We start from the raw sequence: 21,143 nt of genomic DNA on the forward strand, positions 1-21,143 counted from the left end.
CCCCGCCAAACACCACTGACAAGGTCACTGTGTCTGGCAGATTTTTCTGAAGGGCTAATGGTCGTCGAGGGTAATTATGGCACCAAACAGGAAATAATTTCAAACTTAATGAGAAAATAGCCATTCCCCACCTTGGCAAATTTTTCACTCCGTGAGTCCTGGACTTTCCCCAGCCCTCCTCACGTTTCTTCCTTCCTTCCACAGCTCCCTGGGGAAAGCAAAAACTCTTCCTACCTTACAAGGCAGTAGAATTGGACTTTATTTTTTGTATCTTCCTCCTCTGACTGTAGCCAGAGGCAGCTCACCTTGCACAGCCAAAGAGGCTCATTAAGGTTATTTCCCTAAACAGAAATACTCTCAGGTGAGTTATGTTATAGCCATTATATGTGAAAGTCAGTACTATCGATTGATTCAAGTTATTTTTTTCTGCTACACTTAAACTGAGCTGAAATCTATATCCTTGTAATTTGATTCCATTAATCCTACTTTTGATTTCTGGAACTACAGAATAAATCTAATTTACTTTTAGCCATTAAAAGTCAGCTTTTCAGGCCAGACTTGGTGGTTCATGCCTGCAATTACGGCAGTTTGGGAGGCCAAGGTGGGAGGATTGCTTGAGGCCAGGAGTTTGAGAGCAGCCTGGGCAACAAAGCGAGACCCTCTCTCTACAAAAAAATTTAAAAATTAGCCAGGCATGGTGGCACATGCCTGTAGACCTAGCTACTTGGGAGGATCACTTGAGCCCAGTTTAAGGCTACAGTGAGCTGTGATTGCACCACTGCACTCCAGCCTGGGCAACAAAGTGAGATCCTGTCTCTTAAAAAAAAAAAAAGTCAGTTTTTCATATCTTCTCTATATCTTCCCTTTACCAGGTTAAAATTTTCCAATTTTGCAGTAATTCTTTTTTTTTTTTTTTTTTTTGAGACGGAGTCTTGCTCTGTCGCCCAGGTTGGAGTGCAATGGCGCCATCTTGGCTCACTGCAACTTCCGCCTCACAGGTTCAAGTGATTCTCCTGCCTTAGCCTCCAGAGTAGCTGGGATTACAGGCGCCTGCCACCAAGCCCAGCTAATTTTTGTATGTTTTAGTAGAGATGGAGTTTCTCCACGTTAGCCAGGCTGGTCTCGAACTCCTGACCTCAGGTGATCCACCCGCCTCGGCCTCCCAAAGTGCTGGGATTACAGGCGTGAGCCACCACACCCGGCCAGTAATTCTTCATTGTATATAGTTTTCAAATTTGTTACCACCTTGCCCATCCTTTGAACTCTGTCCCTCTAACAATGTCCTAGAATTGAACGCAATGATTCACCAGTGGGTTAATAAAGTAGAATAAATGGGGCTATTTTTCTCTCTCCATTCAGTGAACTATGAGATTTCATTGACCTTTTTGATCATAAATGCACATTGTTGCTTCATACCAAGCAGTTCGCTAAAACCTCTGGGTCTTTTTCATGGGAACGCCCTCATCCTGCACTTCTACAGTTACTTCCAACCAACTGGAGACTTTGCATCCATCCTTCATAAAACCTTTTTTTTTTTTTTGAGACAGAGTCTCGCTCTGTCGCCCAGGCTGGAGTGCAGTGGTGCAATCTTGGCTCACTGCAACCTCTGCCTCCTGGGTTCAGACGATTCTCCCGCCTGAGCCTCCCGAGTAGCTGAAATTACAGGCATGCATCACCATGCCCAGCAAATTTTTGTATTTTTAGTAGAGACTGGGTTTCACCATGTTGGCCAGGCTGGTCTCGAACTTCTGACCTCAGGTGATCTGCCCACCTCGGCCTCCCAAAGTGCTAGGATTACATGCATGAGCCACCGCACCCACCCCCTTTGTAAAACTTGTCTTTTCAGCCTGGATCTACGACCATCATTTGTTGAGATTTTTTTCATCTGGATTCGATGCAATTATCCAGCACATGAATTACCTATCTTATCTCAGCTCTCTGGCTTTGACCCATCTGAAATAGAAGGATAAACACAGTCTGTGAACTGTCCCCACCATGGTAGCTACACATTCTTGCCGTTAAAGCAACGTGATAGAGCAAAAGAAGTCAGGCTCACCTATAGGAGAGCTGGGTTCCAATCCTAGCTTTGTTGTTCTTCCTGCGAACTGCGGCAAAAGTCTCTGAGCTTTATTCTCACAGAACTGTCAAATGAGCTGTGTCTCTGATGGGGCTGGTTTGAAGGTCAACGGTGAAATACACAGAAAGACATGAACCTGGTTTCAGCTCATTGTTTTTATTTTTTTTATCTTTTATTCCTTACTTCAGTTCCACCTTTGAACTCCAATGCTGGACTCTATGTTGTTGGAGTCCCCCTACCACCTTACTGACCAAGCTCCTGGATTTGATGTGACCACATCCATCTTCCTTATTTATATGTGCACTGTAACTATGTTTCTCATTTTAAAATGTAATTTCAGGCCGGGCACAGTGGCTCACGCCTGTAATCCCAGCACTTTGGGAGGCCGAGGCGGGCAGATCACCTGAGGTCGGGAGTTCAAGACCAGCCTGACCAACATGGAGAAACCCAGTCTCTAGTAAAAATACAAAAAAATTAGCTGAGCATGGTGGTGTGTGCCTGTAATCCCAGCTACTCTGGAGGCTGAGGCAGGAGAATTGCTTGAACCCGGGAGGTGGAGGTTGCGGTGAGCCGAGATTGCGCCATTGCACTCCAGCCTGGGCAACAAGAGTGAAACTCTGGTCAAAAAAAAAAAAAACAAAAAGGTAATTTCATGTTAATGTCAGAGCTCTGATTTCAGCAATAATGTGTAAGACACATTCATGACCAACAAGGTGAGAGGCAGGATTTCAAACGGCTTTTCTGATGTTACGTCTGCTCAATCATTGCATCAACAAATCCAGAATGAATTATAAGTGAGCTGATCTTTCATTTCACAACTAGAGAAGTGAGTGTAGACTAGACTGAATTAACCCTTAACCTTATCTACATTTCAGATGGTGACGCGCTCACCTGCACTAGGTCTCTGCTGCCACCTAGTGTTAATAATTTCTCAGCTTTAAAGATGTCAATGTTCAGGAAGAGACCAATGTTCTAAAAATTACACCTTCAGCTCTAAAAATTACACTCCGAGCTCTTGCAGCCGTCTCTTACGGGATTTCCAACTCTTTCAAAGCTTTTTGTGGGAAAAACAAGAAAGAGCGTATCCTCTATTTATACTGCACAAGCAACCAGAAGCTTGGGCCAGTTAATGCTGAAAGAACTTTCAATCCGGAAGCACCCAAGGGGGAGAGAAAATGCTCTCCCGAATGGCAATTCAGGCCTATGACAGCAAAGAGCTGAGTTCAGTGAGAAAAGAGCTGCTATTTCTATTCCATTGTTTTTTTCATCCTTTATATTTTATCTTGGATTCACGTAGCAAAATAAAGTCAGTAGTTAGAGATTGTGTTGTAATTTATGTTGCTGTCAGAGAAAAAATATTTATGATAGAAGAGGAGCTTGGTCCTCATGTCTTTCTTTGTTTTTTTTTTGAGACAGAGTCCCGCTCTGTCACCCAGGCTGCAGTGCAGTGGCTCAATCTCGGCTCAGTGCAACTTCTGCCTCCCAGGTTCAAGTGATTCTCCTGCCTCAGCCTCCTGAGTACCTGGGATTTCAGGCACGCACCACCATGCTCGGCTAATTTTTTTGTATTTTTAGTAGAGATGGGGTTTTGCCATGTTAGCCAGGCAGTCTCAAACTCCTGACCTCAGGCGATCCACCCACCTCGGCCTCCCAAAGTGCTGGGATTACAGGCGTGAGCCACCGCGCCCGGCTGTGGCTGCGGTTTTCTTACGTTTTCCAGTTAGCCCACTGCGAAGACAGCTTATCCATGGGCCTTCCCATATGCTAATAGGCATTCTCCCTGATGGCATTCTCCCTGACGGCAGCAGTGGGATTTTCTGATATCTGGTTTGGGAAGACATAACCAGTCCCCTGAGATGAGTTGTGTATTTCCAAAGTGATGGCGAACACCATGGTTGTCCGCTATTCCTGAAAGTTCTATTGCTTTTCAACCACAAGTGTAACTGGAAAATAATTACCACTACCATAAGGGAAATATATAAAAAGAACTCAGAACACAAACTAGATGATACGGCTTGGCTCTGTGTCCCCACCCAAATCTCATCTTGAATTGTTAATCCCCATAATCCCCACGTGTGGAGAGTGGGACCTGGTGGGAGGTGAATGGATTGTGGAGGTAGTTTCCCCCACGCTGTTCTCGTGATAGTGAGTTCTCATGAGATCTCATGGTTTTGTGTTTGACAGTTCCTCCTACGCACACACTCTCTCACCTGCCACCACATAAGATGTCCCTGCTTCTCCTTCCACCATGATTGTAAGTTTCCTGAGGCCTCCCCAGCCATGCAGAACTGTGAGTCAATTGAACCTCTTTCCTTTATAAATTACCCAATCTCACGCGGTTCCTTGCAGCAGGGTGAAAACAGACTAATACGCTTTATGCTCATTATTTAACATCAGAAGTCCCTTCTAGTAGTGGCAAACCAGGCCTGAACTCAGTCCCACTGAGTCTACCAGCTAAATATCTGATTCTTTCCCCTTCTCTCCGTTGCTACTCCTTATCAAAAAGAGTTTCACTCACGACTGTTACTCCCTTTACTCAAAGGAAACACAAAAATTTTTACCATGACCCACACAACGAGCTCCTAGTTTCTTTGCTTGTCAGGCAAGGGAGCACACACCATGCATGGCTCTGCCAGAAGACACAGCAGCTGGGGTGTTGGTGTGTGTGTCAGAGGGTGAGTGTGCTAATTAAGGATCAATTCCTGCTCTCTAGGTGGGACGGAATGAGTCTATAAGCCCCTGTGCAATTCGTTAAAACAAGTCCCACTGGCCAGGTGTGTGGCTCACACCTGTAATGCCAGCCCTTTGGGAGGCCCAGCTGGACACTTGAGGTCAGGAGCTCAAGACCAGCCTGGCTAACACAGTGAAACCCCATCTCTACTAAAAACACAAAACAGTAAAACCCCATCTCTACTAAAAATACAAAAATTAGCTGGGCATGGTGGCAGGCACCTGTAATCCCAGCTACTCAGGAGCTGAGGCAGGAGAATCACTTGAACCCGGGAGGCAGAAGCTGCAGTAAGCTCTGATTGCGCCACTGCACTCCAGCCTGGGCGACAGAGTGAGACTCTGTCTCAAAAAAAAAAAAAAAAAAGAAACGGTCTTCAGTTACGTCCAGAGAGGGTCTAGCATAGCTAAGCTGATGTTCAAAATTCAGAGTTGTTCATAGTTGTTTATCAGACCCAACTGTGGTGAATCACAGTATCCAGCTTTTTTTTTTTTTTTTTTTTTTTGAGACAGAGTCTTGCTCTGTTGCCCAGGCTAGAGTGCAGCGGCGCGATCTCGGCTGACTGCAACCTCCGCCTCCCAGTTTCAAGCGATTCTCCTGCCTAAGCCTCCCGAGTAGCTGGGATTACAGGCGCCTGCCACTGTGCCTGGCTAATTTTTGTATTTTTAGTAGAGATAGGGTTTCACCATCTCGGCCAGGCTGGTCTGGAACTCCTGACCTCGTGATCCACCCACCTCGGCCTCCCAAAGTGCTGGGATTACAGGCGTGAGCCACCATGCCTCGCCCACAGTATCCAGCTTTTAAAAAATAATTACACTTTTTATTTTGAGAGAATTGTAGATTCACATACAGTTTTAAGAAATAATACAGACAGCCAGGCACAGTGGCTCACACCTGTAATCCCAGCACTTTGGGAGGCCGAGGCAGGCGGATCACCTGAGGTTGGGAGTTTGAGACTAGCCTGACCAACACGGAGAAACCCCATCTCTACTAAAAATACAAAATTAGCTGGGCATGGCGGCGCATGCCTGTAATCCTAGCTACTGGGGAGGCTGAGGTAGAAGAATCGCTTGAACCCAGGAGGCGGAGGTTGTGGTGAGCCGAGATCTCACCATTGCACTCCAGCCTGGGCAGCAAAAACGAAACTGTCTAAAAAAAAAGAAGGGAAGGGAAGGGAAAGGAAGGGAAGGGAAGGAAAGGGGCGGGGAGGCGAGGGGAGGGGAGGGGAGGGGAGGGGAGGGGAGGGGAGGGGAGGGGAGGGAGAAACGAAGAAAGGAAGCAAGCATGCAGGGAGGGAGGGAGGGAGGGGGTGGGTGGGCAGGCAGGCAGACACTCTGTGTACGCTTTGCCCAGTTTCCCCCAATGGTAACATCTTGCAAGACTACAGTACAGTGTCACATTCAGGATATTGACATTCAGACAATCCACCCATCTTCCTCAGATTTCCCCGGTTTTACTTGCACTCCATTGTGGGTATTTAGTTCTGTGCAATTTATCACGTGTAGGTATGGACTCACCATCACGATCAACATATGAAAAGGTCCCATCCCCACAAGGGTCCTTTGTGCTGCCCTTTTATAGCCACACCTCCCAACCTCCTGCCCCTGCCGACCGCTGACCGCCCAACTCTTCTCCAGCCGTAACCACCCAACGGGTTCATTTGCCTACTGCCCAGACAGAGCCCATTTATCAAGACAGGGGAACTGTAATAGAGAAAGAATTTAATTGGCACAGAGCTGGTTGAACAGCAGACTGAGGTTTTATTACTTAAATCAGTCTCTCCAAAATCTCAGAGCCTAGGGTTTTTCAAGGATAGTTTGGCAGGCCAAGGTGCTGCTGATTAGTTGGGGGTGCAATCCTAGGGGTGTGGAACATGGTCCTTGTGCATGCTGAGTCTGCTTCTGGGTGGGGTCACAGGACTGGTTGGCTGGTAGGAACGGACCCATCAATAGTCAGAAATGCAAAAACCTGAAAAGATGGCCAGGCCTGGTGGCTCACGCCTGTAATCCCAGCACTTTGGGAGGCTGAGGCAGGCGGATCACTTGGTCAGGAGTTGGAAACCAGCCTGGCCAATTTTTGTATGTTTAGTCTCTATTAAAAATACAAAAATTAGGCTGGGTGCAGTGGCTCATGACTGTAATCCCAGCACTTCGGGAGGCCAAGGCGGGTGGATCAAGAGTTCAGGAGTTCGAGACCAACCTGACCAACATGGTGAAACCCCGTCTCTACTAAAAATACAAAATTAGCTGGGCGTGGCAGCATGTGCCTGTAATCCCAGCTACTGGGGAGGCTGAGGCAGGAGAATCGCTTGAACCCGGTAGGCAGAGGTTGCAGTGAGCCAAGATCGTGCCACTGCACTCCAGCCTGGGCGACAGAGTGAACCATCTCAAAAAAAAAAAAAAAAAAGAAAAAGAGTCATGTGGAAGGTAACCTTCTGGGGTTGGCTTTTTTTCACTCAGCGTAATTCGCTTGAGAGTCATCTAGATTGCTATGTGTATCTGATGATATAGGAGTGAAGAAGAAATTACTAAGGCAGATAGTGAGGGTATGGGAGTCCTCAGTAAGGTTTCCTTTTTAATGAAAAGCAGCTCCCAAATCATTTTGTTTTCTAATAAAGAGCAGCCTGTAGAATCGAGCTGCAGACATAGATAAGCAAACTAGAAGCTTGCACAGGTGAATGCCGGCAGCTGTGCCAATAAAAAAAAGCTACCTGGGACTAGGCATATTCAACATGGCGGCTCCATCTTCCCTTCTCTTTGCCAAACCACGCATACAGTAAGGAAGAGACAGCATGGCGCCAGCCAGGCAAAGACCCCATCTCCATAATAAGATTACGGTGGGGTGCCCAGCTTCCTCTTGTGCTAAACGTCACACCTGGTCCACCCTATCCGTGGGCGCTACGTAAATCAGACACTGCCTCCTCAATCCTGTCTATAAAATCTGCTGCACTCAGCCTCGGGCCAGAATTCCCACTCAGGTGCCCCTCTCTCTCGCAGGAGAGAGAGCTATTCTCTCTTCTCCTTCTTTCGCCTATTGAACCTCCGCTCTTAACCTCACCCCATGTGTGTCCGTGTCCTTGATTTCCTTGGCATGAGGCAATGACATGCCAAGACACGCCCGGGACCACAACACCGCTTCATTTCTGGGGTTCATTCCCTTTTATTGCTGAGTAGCATTCCGCAGGACAGAGGCTAGAGTCTGTTTAACCATTCGCCTACTGAAGGACACGTAAGAGAATTTCAGTTTGGGGCTATTAAAATCTGCCGTTTTAGTCTTTGTTTTCTGTTTATTTCCTGTGTTTCTTGTTCTTCTGTTTCTTTTGTCTTGCCTTCCTGTGGGTAGAAAGACTTGCCCTCACATATAAGCTCCTATGCTTTTTTTTCTTTTTGAATACATATTTTTAAAATACAGAGATAGGATCTCACTATGTTGCCCAGACTGGTCTGGAACTCCTGGGCTAAAGTGATCTGCCCACCTCGGCCTCCCAAGTGCTGGGATTACAGGCGTGAGCCACCGTGCCCAGCCTCCTGTGCTTTTGCTTAACTCTAGCTGCTTTCTCTCCCTGGGAAGCAGCGCTGAGGCTCCCTATACCTTCTTCATAAGGAGATGGCTTTCACCTCGTTTTGGCTTGTGTCTGTGTTTTTCTGATTTGTGAAAATAAAAATAAGCCCTACTTATGGAAATCATATGGAATCAAGGCAGACAGAACAAAATAGTAACAATATTTAAAGTGCTTCTATAATTAGAAAAAACAATCAAGATATAAAAATCTTTTCTTAAAAATGTGTGGGTCAGATAGACCTGAGTGTGAGTTGAGACACTGCTTTCCTTTTCTGGGTGTGCTACTGTGATTTAAAAAGAAACGTATATCCGGTCTCTGCCCTGGTTCCTGACATAGAACTCCTCAACCCTGTCATTTCCTGAGCAATAGGGCTGCTATTTAGTCTTTGATCCGGGTTCCTAACACAGCTCCTACGACCTTTGTAATTTCCTGAGTGATGAGTGTCTGACACAAAGCTACTAAATCCCTTGGAATTTTGTGAGAGGAACAGCTTTTGTTCTAATGAGTGGGCTCTTCGTGGGCTCCCGGACAGCCTCAGGATGGGGGCTGGTTGCCAGGGGAACCAACCCTGTGTGACTGTCCAATGTATCTCTTCATCTGGCTGCCCACCTGTATCCTTTGTAAGACCCTTTATAATACATAAGTAGCGAGGTGCAGTGGCGTGCAGTGGCTCATGCCTGTAATCCCAGCACTTTGGGAAGCTGAGGCAGGAGGACTGCTTGAGCCCACGAGTTCAAGACCAGCCTGGGCAACATAGACTCCATTTCAATTAAAAAAAAAAAAAAAAAAAAAAAAAGGAAAGAAATTCGGCACGTCTCCTAGTGAAACCTGAGTAGGATGTCATTGGAACCCCCAGTTTAGAGCCGGTAGGTCAGAAGGCACAGGTCACACAACCTAGGACTTGAGACTGGCATCTGAAGTGGGGGGCAGCGTTGTGGGGGTGAGCCCTCAGCCTGTGGGATCTGACACCATCTCCAGGTAGATGGCGTTACAACCTGGGACTTGAGACTGGCATCTGAAGTGGGGGGCAGCACAGGCTCCACTAAAAAACTCTACACAGCACCCCCAATGCCATGCTGTCTTGTCCTTGGCACGGTCCTTCCCTGTGCCCTCCCGCTCTTCCTCATTGAAAACACCCTTCATATGAACTCAGCCAAACCCCTGTCCTCTGTGCAGTCTTGGCCCTTGGTGGAGTTCCTTCTTTCCTCGGAGGCCAACAGCACATTTTGGTGTAAGCACTTACATGTTTAAGTTTCCTACTAGACTCCGCCTCCAGCAGGCCAGAGACCACATTCTGTATGGTTCATCTTTGCCCAAGTGTCTATTCTCATGTCCAGTACTTGATGAATTGTATCAGACCTTCTCAGACTTGAGGAAGAAATACTAAATTAGTGATATTGTGGCGACATAAACTTGCCAATGTGACAGAATGCCAACATGGGAGATTTAGTTCTGATTCTGACAAAGCCATTAGATTCTAAGAAGGATGCAGAAAGCCAAGTGTGTTTCCCCCACGCCCAGGACCCGCCACTGGATGCGTGAATCATACCCCATGGCTGGCGCCACCTTGAGGCTGGGCACGCAAAGATGAGCCATAAAAAAGAGGGTGTGATTTGTCACCCTGTTTGCTGAACTATTTTGCCACAATTAGCAAAACCAACCCTTTAAGAAATTGTTCAGGGGCCAGGCATGGTGGCTTATGCCTGTAATCCCAGCACTTTGGGAGGCCGAGGCGGGCAGACCACTTGAGGTCAGGAGTTGGTGACCAGCCTGGGCAACATGGTGAAACCCCGTCTCTACTAAAAATACAAAAAAAATTAGCCGGGTGTGGTGGCGCACGCCTGTAATCACAACTACTCAGGAGGCTGAGGCACAAGAATCACTTGAACCTGGGAGATGGAGGTTGCAGTGAGCAGACATCACATGTGCCACTACACTCCAGCCTGGGCAACAGAGAGAGACTCCATCTCAAAGACCCCGACACTAGGGTGGCTATAGCCTAGGTCCTCTCCTGAGTTCCTGCTGCACTAAACCATTAAAAAGGAGCTGGCTTTCTCCCCAATCCTACCAGCCACCCAGGGAACCACTGAGTAAGGGAACGAGCTCCCAGTAGGTGAACTTGGCGTCTTCAGACTGAATGCATTTTTGTATTAAATTAAACAAAACATTGTTGGCTGGGCACGGTGGCTCACGTCTGTAATCCTAGCACTTTGGGAGGCCAAGGCGGGCAGATCACTTGAGGTCAGCAGTTTGAGACTGGCCTGGCCAACATGGTGAAACCCCGTCTCTATTGAAAATACAAAAAACAGCTGGGCATGGTGGCACACGCCTGTAATCCCAGCTACTCAAGAGGCTGAGGCAGAAGAATCGCTTGAACCTCGGAGACAGAGACTGCAGTGAGCTGAGATCGCACCACTGCACTCCAGCCTGGGTGACAGAGCAAGACTTTGTCTCAAAAAAAAAAAATTGTTAAAGCAACATCAATTCTATCTATGTGACATTACCAAAGAAAGCATTATACCATTTGTGTCTTGGGGGGGTTAGGGACAGGGACAAATAGTCAACCTGGTGGTTGCCCTGAGGCTCGCCCCTTCCCCCATCCTTTCCAGTATCCTGCCTGAGCAACCTTTTGTTTCTGGTGCACAAATACGACTGCTGGGCCTGTTTTCTTGCAAAGGTACTTTCAAACATAGCTTGTATTGCCTTTATTCATTTTTTTTTTTTGAGACGGAGTTTTGCTTTGTCACCCAGGCTGCAGTGCAGTGGCACAATCTCGGCTCACTGCAACCTCCGCCTCCCGGGTTCAAGCGATTCTCCTGCCTCAGCCTCCTGAGTAGCTGGGATTACAGGCAACCGCCACCACACCCGGAAAATTTTTGCATTTTTCGTAAAGACAGGGTTTCGCCATGTTGGCCAGGCTGGTCTTGAACTCCTGACCTCAGGTGATCCACCCACCTCGGCCTCCCAAAGTGCTGGCATTACAGGCGTGAGCCACCCCACTTGGCCTTGTATTGCTCTTAAAAACAAATAAACAAACAAAAGACTCAGGTGCTTGTAATCATCTATTCTGCGGCTGAGAGAATATCGGCCATGGCCCGCAACCAGACAACCAACCTGTTTCCAAACATGAATATTTTAAAATATTAGACTTTTGTTCTGGTAACTTGGAAATTCAAAAGGAATTTCCGTATTGAAGGATGACATTATGTAATATTTTAAACTCGAAATTTCTTCACACCATTAAGGTTTTTCAATTTTGAAAGTCAATGTTCCTCCAACAATAAAACAAGAAAAACATCTCATTCTTGATGGGGACAGATAGGGACAGGTTTTTACACTAACTTGAGCAGTGGGGAACAGGAAAAGATTGCTCTCTGCAAATGGTGTGATTTCACTGAGGAACACAACAGATCCTTTCTCTCTGTGTAAATCAGCCAACCTATTCTGTGATCACCATTACAACAGAATTTGTGTATGCAAATTCCCGGCTGGGCCTTCTCCTGTCATCCTCCCAGCGGCTCCCCCGCCCTGCTCACGCTACTGAGACACTGGCACCTTACCTCAGACCAGAGCCCAGCACTAAACCTCTGGTTCCACTGCACAGGATCTCAGTTCTTTCTTACATCCTGAAGTTTTGTGCCCAGTAACACAGGGGACGAGGTATAAGCTTCATCCAAAACAGTGTTGTGAAAATGTTTTGACTACAACTTTCAGTAAGAAATGAATTTACGCTATGATCCGGTATACACCTGTGCACACATGTGCTGCACACACGTAAACAAGTTACACAAAACATTTTCCTTAGCTATGTATGGTACATTGTGATCATTTTTCTCTTACACCATTTCATTTTTTTAAATGCTGGTTTTCCGCACTAGATCAATGTCACAATCCACTAATGGGTCCTGACCTGGAGTTTGAAACACATGAATATGCAATGCTCTCCCATTATGAGACATGTCCTAGTCCCTAAGCTAATCTACTTGGAACTGTAAAATTCTAAGAAACAGAAATAGATATTTCAGTAGAAATAATAAAAAAGATTTCTTTTCACTGGCACATACAAAATGTGAAGTTGAAAATCATTCTGAAATTAGCCAGGCATGGTGGTGCACACCTGTAGTCCCAGCTACTCGGGAGGCTGAGGTGGGAGGATCACTTGAGCTCAGGTGATAGAGGCTACAGTGAGCTATGATTGCATCACCACTCTCCAGTCTGGGTGACAGAGTGAGACCCTGTCTCTCTCTCTAAAAAAAAAAAAAAAAAATTTAACTTTAAAAAAGAAAATCATTCTGAAGAATTGGTGGACACAGATGTTATAACTACTCAGAACACAGGCAAACACAGGCAGTTTGCGAGGGAGCCTAAAGGAAGAGTGAGGGCACTCACTGGAACCCAGCCCATCTGAACAGAGGCAAGGAAGACTTTGGTTTATTGACAGGGTCTCACTCTGTTGCCCAGGCTGGAGTGCAGCGGTGCAATCAAGGCTCACTGCAGCCTCAACCTCCTGGACTCAAGTGATCCTCCCACCTCGGCCCCTCAAGTAGCTGGGACCACAGGCATGTGCCACCACACCCGGCTATTTTTTTAATTTTTTTTTTCTTTTTTTGAGACAGAGTCTCACTCTTGTCACCCAGGCTGGAGTGCAATGGCATAATCTCAGCTCGCTGCAACCTCTGCTTCCCAAGTTCAAGCGATTCTCCTGTCTCAGCCTCCCCAGTACCTGGGATTACAGGCGCCCGCCACCATGCCCGGCTAATTTTTCTATTTTTAGTAGAGATGGGGTTTCACCATGTTGGCCAGGCTAGTCTCGAACTCCTGACCTCAGGTAATCCTCCCACCTCAGCCTCCCAAAGTGCTGGGATTACAGGCATGAGCCACCGTGCCCGGCCTATTTTTTAAATTTTTTGCAGAGATGGGATCTCCTTATGTTGCCCAGGCTGGTCTCGAACTCCTGAGCTCAGGTGATCCCCTCACTTTTGCCTTCTAAAGTGTGGGATTACAGGCATGAGCCATGGGGCCTGGCCAGGGAGACTTTTCTATCCATGCTGCACGGCAATCTTGTCCTCCTTTTGCTAGAAGAAATAAGACTCTTGGGGCTAGGAAGAACCTTAAATGTCAAATTCCATTTTCTCTTGTCAGATGACAAAAGTAAATCAGCATTTCCTTTAAAAATCGGAGCACTGACTTTGGTCCTATTCAAAATAGCTACCTTCAATTAGAATTAGGGTAAAAAATGATTCACCATAATGTTGTTTAACTTTCTCTCTTTTTTTTTTTTTTCAAATTACTAGAATTTTATTAGCCAAGGGATAGCAGCTGGAGGAGAAATAACAAAAAAATACATCTTAAGAATCCTTAAGTACAGTGCATATTTACAATTTAAGTGTCATATTTTAGAAGGCCACTGTCCATCAGCTCAGTAAATGTACCAGCTTCTAAAGCCATGATGCCATAGGTCCATTTGTTGATGAAATTCCTACCCACTGTCCTCGGGCATCTGACTCTGGTCTCTGCACTGGCATCAAGAGAACGCTGCTCGGTGGTTTAAGGCTAACACCTTACAGGGTAACACTGTAACACTGGCCCTGGAGCCAGGTGCTTTTCTCCATGAAAACTTCCACCTTGGTAGCTCAGCCGACATAGACAACACACAAAGCGCAGCTCTGCACTTCTGTCCTTATCTTCACACAGTGACATCCACACCAGGTGGCCAAACAGAAGAGAAGGCAGAGGCCCACCAAGAGCTGATGCTGCGCAGTCCTTGGGGGATCATCCTCCGGTCTCACTGGGGACGAACCCAGGTTCTGGAGCCTCTCCCCTGACAGACAGCTTGTCACCGGCACTTATGGGTCCTCTGGGATTTCAGACAATACCCAACTTCTGTAGGTTCAGAAAGTGCTTTCAAGCAGGCAGTGGCACCCACACCCGGTGGGACACACCTCCTGGGTCCGAAACCACTCCATCATGTGGCTGGTGTGGCCACCGTGCCCACAGGTCAGGCAGAAATTGGACGATCCCCGCACAGCCACGTGACAGATGGCACACTGGAACGTGAAGCCTTTGCAGATGGCACACTGCGTGCCACGGACCTCACTCCGGCAGTGGCTGCAGTACACGCCGAACTCTGGAAATGGGCAGGGACGGGCAAAACAAGAGGCAGCATGAGTTTAGTTCTGAAAAAGGAAACTGGGGCTTGCCAGGAAGAAGGAAGTCTTCCTCTCAAGACTCTAGCAGATTCTCTTAGACCAGTGGTTTTCATTTTCTGTTTTTTTTATTTTTATTTTTTCTTTTTGAGACAGAGTTTCACTCTTGTCACCCAGGCTCGAGTGCAATGGTGCAATCTTGGCTCACTGCAACCTTCACAGCCCGGATTCAAGTGTCCTGCCTCAGCCTCCCGAGTAGCTGGAATTACAGGCACCTGCCACCACGCCCAGCTAAGTTTGTATTTTTAGTAGAGACGGGGTTTCGCCATGTTGGCCAGGCTGGTCTCGAACTCCTGACCTCAGGTGATCCACCTGCCTTGGCCTCCCAAAGTGCTGGGATTATAGGCGTGAGCCACTGTGCCCAGCCTGTTTTTTTTTGTTTTTTTTACACCAGAACTCCTTCTTCTGAGCCACTGCACCCAGCTGCTGAGTACTGTATTTTCTCAGGGGCTCCGCATGGAAACCCAGTGCCCTACAGCAGGGGGCAGCTGCGTCTGATGCCTCTTCCCACCCCGACGGCTGGCAGGGCCTGGCACGCAGGAGGTGTTGAACAGGTATCAGCTGAAAGAACTGAATGACTCAGCAGTAACACTTCAGCAGAGGGCAGACTGGCTTTACCAACGCCTGCTACTGCCCACTCGCCACTGGCCCAAGTCAGGACACCGGGATGCCGCTCCACCGCCGGGCGGGGACTGGTTCCACTGGGCTACCCTGAGTAAAACCTGCTCTATCTACTCTGCTGGCAATAGTCCCCTCATCACCTGACCCTCCTGCCTCTGCTGGCTTTTGGATGAAAGGCCATTTCTTGCTTAAGTCCTCTGACTGCAGGGGCAGTGGGTGGGGACTGTGTCCCATCGCTGCCTCCAGACTGACCTTTCTGCTGGAGGCCAATGTCATCCAGCTTCACCAGCCTTTCCCCCTTTTCTCTGTGTCATCTGAGGACATTCTGGAGACACACCCCCACTCACTGAAGACTTGTTCTTGGCTCTCAATTTTCTCTCTACCCCAGTTCTTAGATGATCCTGGAGGTCTCCCAAACCTACACCACTAACCCAGTGCCCACCCGGCCATTCAGGTCTTTGCCCTCATCCCTAACCCATCACCACTAACCCTTCAGTCCACCTGCCCCTTTCTAGCTGCAATTTGCCCTTTGGCCAACCTGAATTACATGGACTCACTTTATAATCACTTATTTTGCAAATGCCTTCAATTCCTTTGCCCATCTCCTGCACCACCTGGCAAAACCTCTACCCTGGATGACCCATATCACCTGCCCACTCCATGCCTGCCCACAAGAGGCTGAGCAATCCTGGAGAAAGGCCCATGTTCAAGAAATGCATCTCACTTCATACACGCGATCACCAACGGACACAACACCTAGCCCTGCGCGGAGCCTGTGTTTCCCTTCTGTCCCCGAGATGGTGACTTCGGGCCTCCACCACGTTCTGCAAACTCTTCCCTCATGCCTTTTCTCCCGGCTCCTGCACCTGCCAGCCTCGTCTCTCACTTCCCTTCGTCGTTACACCACGCATCTTCCAATCTCCCACCTCTCCTTCCCTCTTACAACAGAGGGAGGGTCCTTTCTTCTAGCAGAACTGGCTGCTCTGTTGAATGACAACTGGTGGTCAGAAAAAAAAGGCCAATAAAAACTCCTCTGATATGTGGTACCTAAGGGCATATTTTATGATAGTTCCAATTAAGGCAAATCTTGAGACAAATCAGACTGGTTTGAAAATTTTGGTTTAAAAATAGCTATGTCTTCTCCCTCTAAGCATAATTTTTTATATTATGTACAAACTTTGGTTATGTTCTCATGAAAAGCCTAATTAGTTGAAAACTCTCAAATTTTCATTACTGGTTTTATTGGCCAACATTATGAGAATGTAAATATTGTGTGTTCAGGTAAATTTAATTCTAATGTTTAAAAGGGTTTGTTCCTTGGTACTTGAGATAACTGTAAACTTAATTATTCTCCATATCTATCTGGGTAAAATTATTAAAATGTCATCTCACAGTATCATTAATAATTGTGTTTCTCTACAGTGAATCGGATTAAATATAGTTTTCAAGATCCTTATTAACTTTAAGACCCTGAACTAATATTTCATTTCGTTAATTAGCGAATGATCTTTGGGGGGATCTGGACAATTTCTAAGGAGATCTAAATTCACAAAGACAGAAAACATAAAAGCCCCAGGACGCTCTCCCTTGCCTCTGCCCTGTATATACACAATGGAATGGCTCAGCGTATGAACCGATTGAGAAGGATAGGCAGATGCCCGTGGGCCTTGCTGGTGCGTGCTTCCTCTCACCACTTCAGGGCATACAAAGGGATGTGGAATGTGTTCCCAAAAACAGAGCTGGCAAGGTGTCTCACACCTGGCTGCCTTTGGAATATCCCTGACAATCCACTAATCGTGCCGGTCGCTAATGGTTCCAGGTTTTCTCTGGGTCTCTGAGGGAAGAAGAATGACTCTGGGAGGCTGGGGCTACACTAGATACAAATTGCAAAGCAGATACCACTTGCAAGTATGAGATATGAATCTGTATTCAAGATAATTGATGTGTTCTATTAGTTCATCAAGGGAAATGTTCCAGTTTTATTAAAACGATCAATCAACGCGGTGAGGGTATTGTCTTACTGAATGTGCTGATAAGTCAGTATATTTTAAAGTTAAAAGATTTAAATTTGCTGGTTTTGTGTATATCTCAAAACACACACACACACACAAACACACAAAGGTATCTTAACATTTTTAAACAAAATTAAACGATATACACTTTAAGAGGAAAAAAACAACAATTCCAAAGAAAACTGTTCAGTGACGAAGAAAATGTCAAATGTGATTCTGTGCCTGGATAAGAGAGGTTCCTTACAGCACCAAAATTATCTCACTTGACAGCTGGTTAATTTTTGGTGTTTTTTGTCATGCTTTTGAATCACATTAAACAAAAGTCTACTTCTGAAAAGTCTAGGGTTCTTAATTATTTACTGCTCTGTTTATTTATTGATTGATTGATTTTTATTTATTTATTTTGAAACGAAGTCTCGCTCTTGTCACCCAGGCTGGAGTGCAATGGTGCGATCTCAGCTCACTGCAACCTCCGCCTCCCTGATTCAAGCGATTCTTCTGCCTCAGCCTCCTGAGTGGCTGGGACTACAGGCGCCTGCCAACATGCCCGGCTAATTTCTGTATTTTTAGTAGACAGGGGGTTTCACCATGTTGGCCAGTCTGGTCTCGAACTCCTGACCTCAGGTGATCCACCTGCCTCGGCTTCCCAAAGTGCTAGGATTACAGGCGTGAGCCACCGCGCCCCGCCTGCTGTGTTTATTTTAAATAACATCATTCTGAACCAAGTATGTTGCAATGTCTTGTCTTTAGGCATGTAATAACTTATGCTTATATCCAATCACCTCTGACAACTCTTTCTCAAACTGCCCTTTCCCAAATTTGGAAGAATAAAGCTCTCACTCTCTACTATAAACGTCAGCTACCTGTATAACTCCCCAAATGACAAGTGGCCAACACTACAGATTTGTTCCCTCACTATAGGAAGGAGGAAGCCAGACATGACTGGGAATGTCTTGTATTCTCTATACTTTTAATTGGTTTAGCATTATTGTAAGAGCTCTCGTATCTATTAAACCCACAATGTAAGAAATCAAATAGGGAAGTTCAACCTCCCTGGGGAACTGTATTCAAGTACAAGATTATTAATGGGAATTTTTCAGCAACTTCTTTCAAGATCAATTGAAGGATACTCATATCTATTACAAAGACTGGCATATCTTTCAACAAATTTATTTTTTAAATTTGTTTTATGTTTAAAATAAAAATACAGTACTTGGCCGGGTGCCGTGGCTCTCGCCTGTAATCTCAGCACTTTGGGAGGCCAAGGTGGGTGGATCACCTGAGGCCAGGCGTTCGAGACCAGCCTGGCCAACATGGCAAAACCCATCTCTACTAAAAACACAAAAATTAGCTGGGCGTGACGGCGCACACCTGTAATACCTGGAAGGCTGAGGTAGGAGAACTGCTTGAACCTGGGAGGTGGAGGTTACAGTGAGCCAAGACTGTACCTCTGCACTCCAGCCTGGGTGACAGAGAGAGACCTTGTTCCCACCCCCTCGCCAAAAAAAAGAAAACAAAAGTAAAAAGAAAATATAGTACTCCTTTCGTTTGGCAATAACCTTACAAACATTTTACGGGATGAATTAAAAGAGCCTGGAGATTTGTCAACGTCCTCAGTGTCCAAAATATTTTAGTGTTGGGGAATCACTGACTGAATCCTTAGGAAATGATTCTGCTCCATAGGATATTGTTATCATAAACTAGCCAGAGCCATTTCGCTTTATTGCCAATTGCCGGTTTCGGCTTTTGCCTCACACTTGCCTAAAGTCGCTTCCTATAAACTATAGGCCAGAAATAGAAACTTAGAGAAAACATGTCAAAATAAAGCCTCTTTAGGCACTATTAAAGGTACTCTTCACTACTGATATTACTGAAGAGATTCCTGAATACCAACTTTCCAAATAAGCTGACACTGACCAGGAGCAGCTTCTCATGCCTGTAATCCCAGCACTTTGTGAGGCCGAGGTGGGGGTATCGCTTGAGCCCAGGAGTTGGAGACCAGCCTGGGCAACATGGCAAGACTCCATCTCTACAAAAACATTTTTTTAAAAATTAGCCGGGCATGATGGTGTATGCCTGTGGTCCCAGCTACTTAGGAGACTGTGGTGGGAGGATTGTTGAGCTCAGCAGGTCGAGGCTGCAGTGAGCTGTGATCATGCCTGTGCACTGCAGCCTGGGTGACAGAGTGAGACCCTGTCTCAAAAAACAAACAAACAAGCCAAACAAATAAGCTGACAGCATTACCACCAGGAGACACTTGTCAGACTGTGGAATGGATCAGGATTTCTAGGACTTTTTGGTTCAGAAGCAGATGACTTCAGTCAAAGTAGATGGGTAGAGAATCCAAGACAATTAGAACAAGAATTACTTAGCAGGGACTGAATACAACTGATGGAAAAATTTAATTCTGGCTAATGATCTATTTTCTACTAGAAAGGAGAAAACATTCTTTCTTCTTTCTTGCTCCATCTCTACCCTCAGTTTAACACGTTATATACATTGAAATGAAACACTCTGGAAATAGTATCTTGTTCTAATTACCTTCAGGAGAAAAAAAAACCAAAAAAGATCTTAATATAGATTATAAGATATCAAATCACCAGGAAAACCTTAGAACAATAACCCCATAGGAAATATCATATGTTGATTAACCTCATCTGCAAAAATGCTCAGAACAATGGGTAAGTACCACACAAAGGCCTTTTCTTTTCATGACAAAATATACAGGTTCAGTGAGAGTCTGCTGGGGCTGGGTGTGGCAGCTCATGCTTCTAATCCCAGCACTTTGGGAGGCTGAGGTGGAAGGATCACTTGAAGCCAAGAATTTGAGACCACAATGGACAACAAAGTGAGACTCTGTTTCTATTTTATAAAAATTTAAAAAATTAAAAATAAAAGAAGCTGCCTTCCTCCTTATCATGATATACATGGATAGATCAGATTTACAGCCAAGGTCATGCCCAAAATGTCACATTTAGATTCAAATCTCATTTAAATTAGGTATGATACGGCCGGGTGCAGTGGCTCACGCCTGTAATCCCAGCACTTTGGGAGGCCGAGGCAGGAGGACCATGAGGTCAGGAGATCGAGACCATCCTGGCTAACATGGTGAAACCCCATCTCTACTAAAAATACAAAAAATTAGCCAGGAGTGGTGGCAGGCGCCTGTAGTCCCAGTTACTCGGGAGGCTGAGACAGGAGAATGGCGTGAACCTGGGAGGCGGAGCTTGCAGTGAGCCGAGATCGCGCCACTGCACTCCAGCCTGGGGGACAGAGTGAGACTCTGTCTCCAAAAATAAATAAATTAATTAATTAAAAAAATAAGTTAGGTATGATAAGCCATTATGAAGGGGAGGAGATGGCTTCATATGTGGACATGAAGCCCACAAGTCCTCCCAGGAAACTTCTTTGGCCTAGGGAATCCCAGCCTTGCACAAAGTACAGATGTCATTTCCTGACAGGCCAGAAACACTGACTACCCTGAGGATCACAGGTAAGAGGCACAGGACGACAGGATAGGTTTTGCAGGTGAAACTTGATAGAGGTGAAATGAATCATTCTTGGGTCCTAACGGACAAACTAATGAAGACCATAAAAATACTCCCAGCACATAGAACAATCAAAGTATGATTCCAAGGCTTTTCAAAACTTCCAGGAGGAAGTAAACTCCAAAGGTGCAGGGTCATACAGCTCCAGTTTGTTAACCATACAACAAAAAGTTTTGTGTATTAATCAACATCACCTATTACACAAAAGTAAATAAAACTGGCCAAATAAATAAGACGTTAAATGAATATACTGAACCAGTAAACTGTTGAACGAAATTTAGGTGAGCAGATCTCTACCTCTATGGAGGGAATTCTCCCCATGGGGTGGCTGGGAAAGCGATCGCTTTGCTCTGCCACCATTAAGACCAAGCGCATCATATACCACAGTC

The 21,143-nt window shown here is 46.0% G+C and overlaps 1 protein-coding gene across 11 annotated transcripts in view, besides 5 other annotated features; it reads right to left on the reverse strand.

Moving 5' to 3' along the window:
- Window positions 3,028-3,167: an enhancer, noted in NCBI's record as "active region_11111". NCBI's record gives its function as "activates an Ori minimal core promoter by ATAC-STARR-seq in GM12878 lymphoblastoid cells {active_cell/tissue: GM12878}" and the evidence as "EXISTENCE:reporter gene assay evidence [ECO:0000049][PMID:35858748]".
- Window positions 6,261-6,555: a silencer, noted in NCBI's record as "tiled region #8667; K562 Repressive non-DNase unmatched - State 23:Low". NCBI's record gives its function as "represses a minimal TATA promoter and a strong SV40 promoter by Sharpr-MPRA in K562 cells {active_cell/tissue: K562}" and the evidence as "EXISTENCE:reporter gene assay evidence [ECO:0000049][PMID:27701403]".
- The window catches only part of WDR59 (WD repeat domain 59), a 113,762-nt gene continuing 104,030 nt past the window's right edge, over window positions 11,412-21,143 (reverse strand). For all 11 annotated transcript variants that reach the window (XM_047434642.1, XM_047434640.1, XM_047434639.1 and 8 more), the window contains one exon: window positions 11,412-14,494. In XM_047434642.1, coding sequence (XP_047290598.1) covers window positions 14,259-14,494 — 236 coding nt within the window. In that variant the 3' untranslated portion in view covers window positions 11,412-14,258. The remainder of the gene's footprint in view (window positions 14,495-21,143) is intronic.
- Window positions 11,521-12,069: an enhancer, noted in NCBI's record as "OCT4-NANOG-H3K27ac-H3K4me1 hESC enhancer chr16:74905369-74905917 (GRCh37/hg19 assembly coordinates)". NCBI's record gives its function as "activates a minimal SCP1, AML or CMV promoter by ChIP-STARR-seq in naive H9 embryonic stem cells {active_cell/tissue: H9 hESC(naive)}" and the evidence as "EXISTENCE:reporter gene assay evidence [ECO:0000049][PMID:30033119]".
- Window positions 14,275-15,000: an enhancer, noted in NCBI's record as "H3K27ac-H3K4me1 hESC enhancer chr16:74908123-74908848 (GRCh37/hg19 assembly coordinates)". NCBI's record gives its function as "activates a minimal SCP1, AML or CMV promoter by ChIP-STARR-seq in naive H9 embryonic stem cells {active_cell/tissue: H9 hESC(naive)}" and the evidence as "EXISTENCE:reporter gene assay evidence [ECO:0000049][PMID:30033119]".
- Window positions 15,729-16,454: an enhancer, noted in NCBI's record as "H3K27ac hESC enhancer chr16:74909577-74910302 (GRCh37/hg19 assembly coordinates)". NCBI's record gives its function as "activates a minimal SCP1, AML or CMV promoter by ChIP-STARR-seq in naive H9 embryonic stem cells {active_cell/tissue: H9 hESC(naive)}" and the evidence as "EXISTENCE:reporter gene assay evidence [ECO:0000049][PMID:30033119]".

Source organism: Homo sapiens, chromosome 16 (assembly GCF_000001405.40).
Source record: "Homo sapiens chromosome 16, GRCh38.p14 Primary Assembly".
Lineage (NCBI taxonomy): Eukaryota > Metazoa > Chordata > Mammalia > Primates > Hominidae > Homo > Homo sapiens.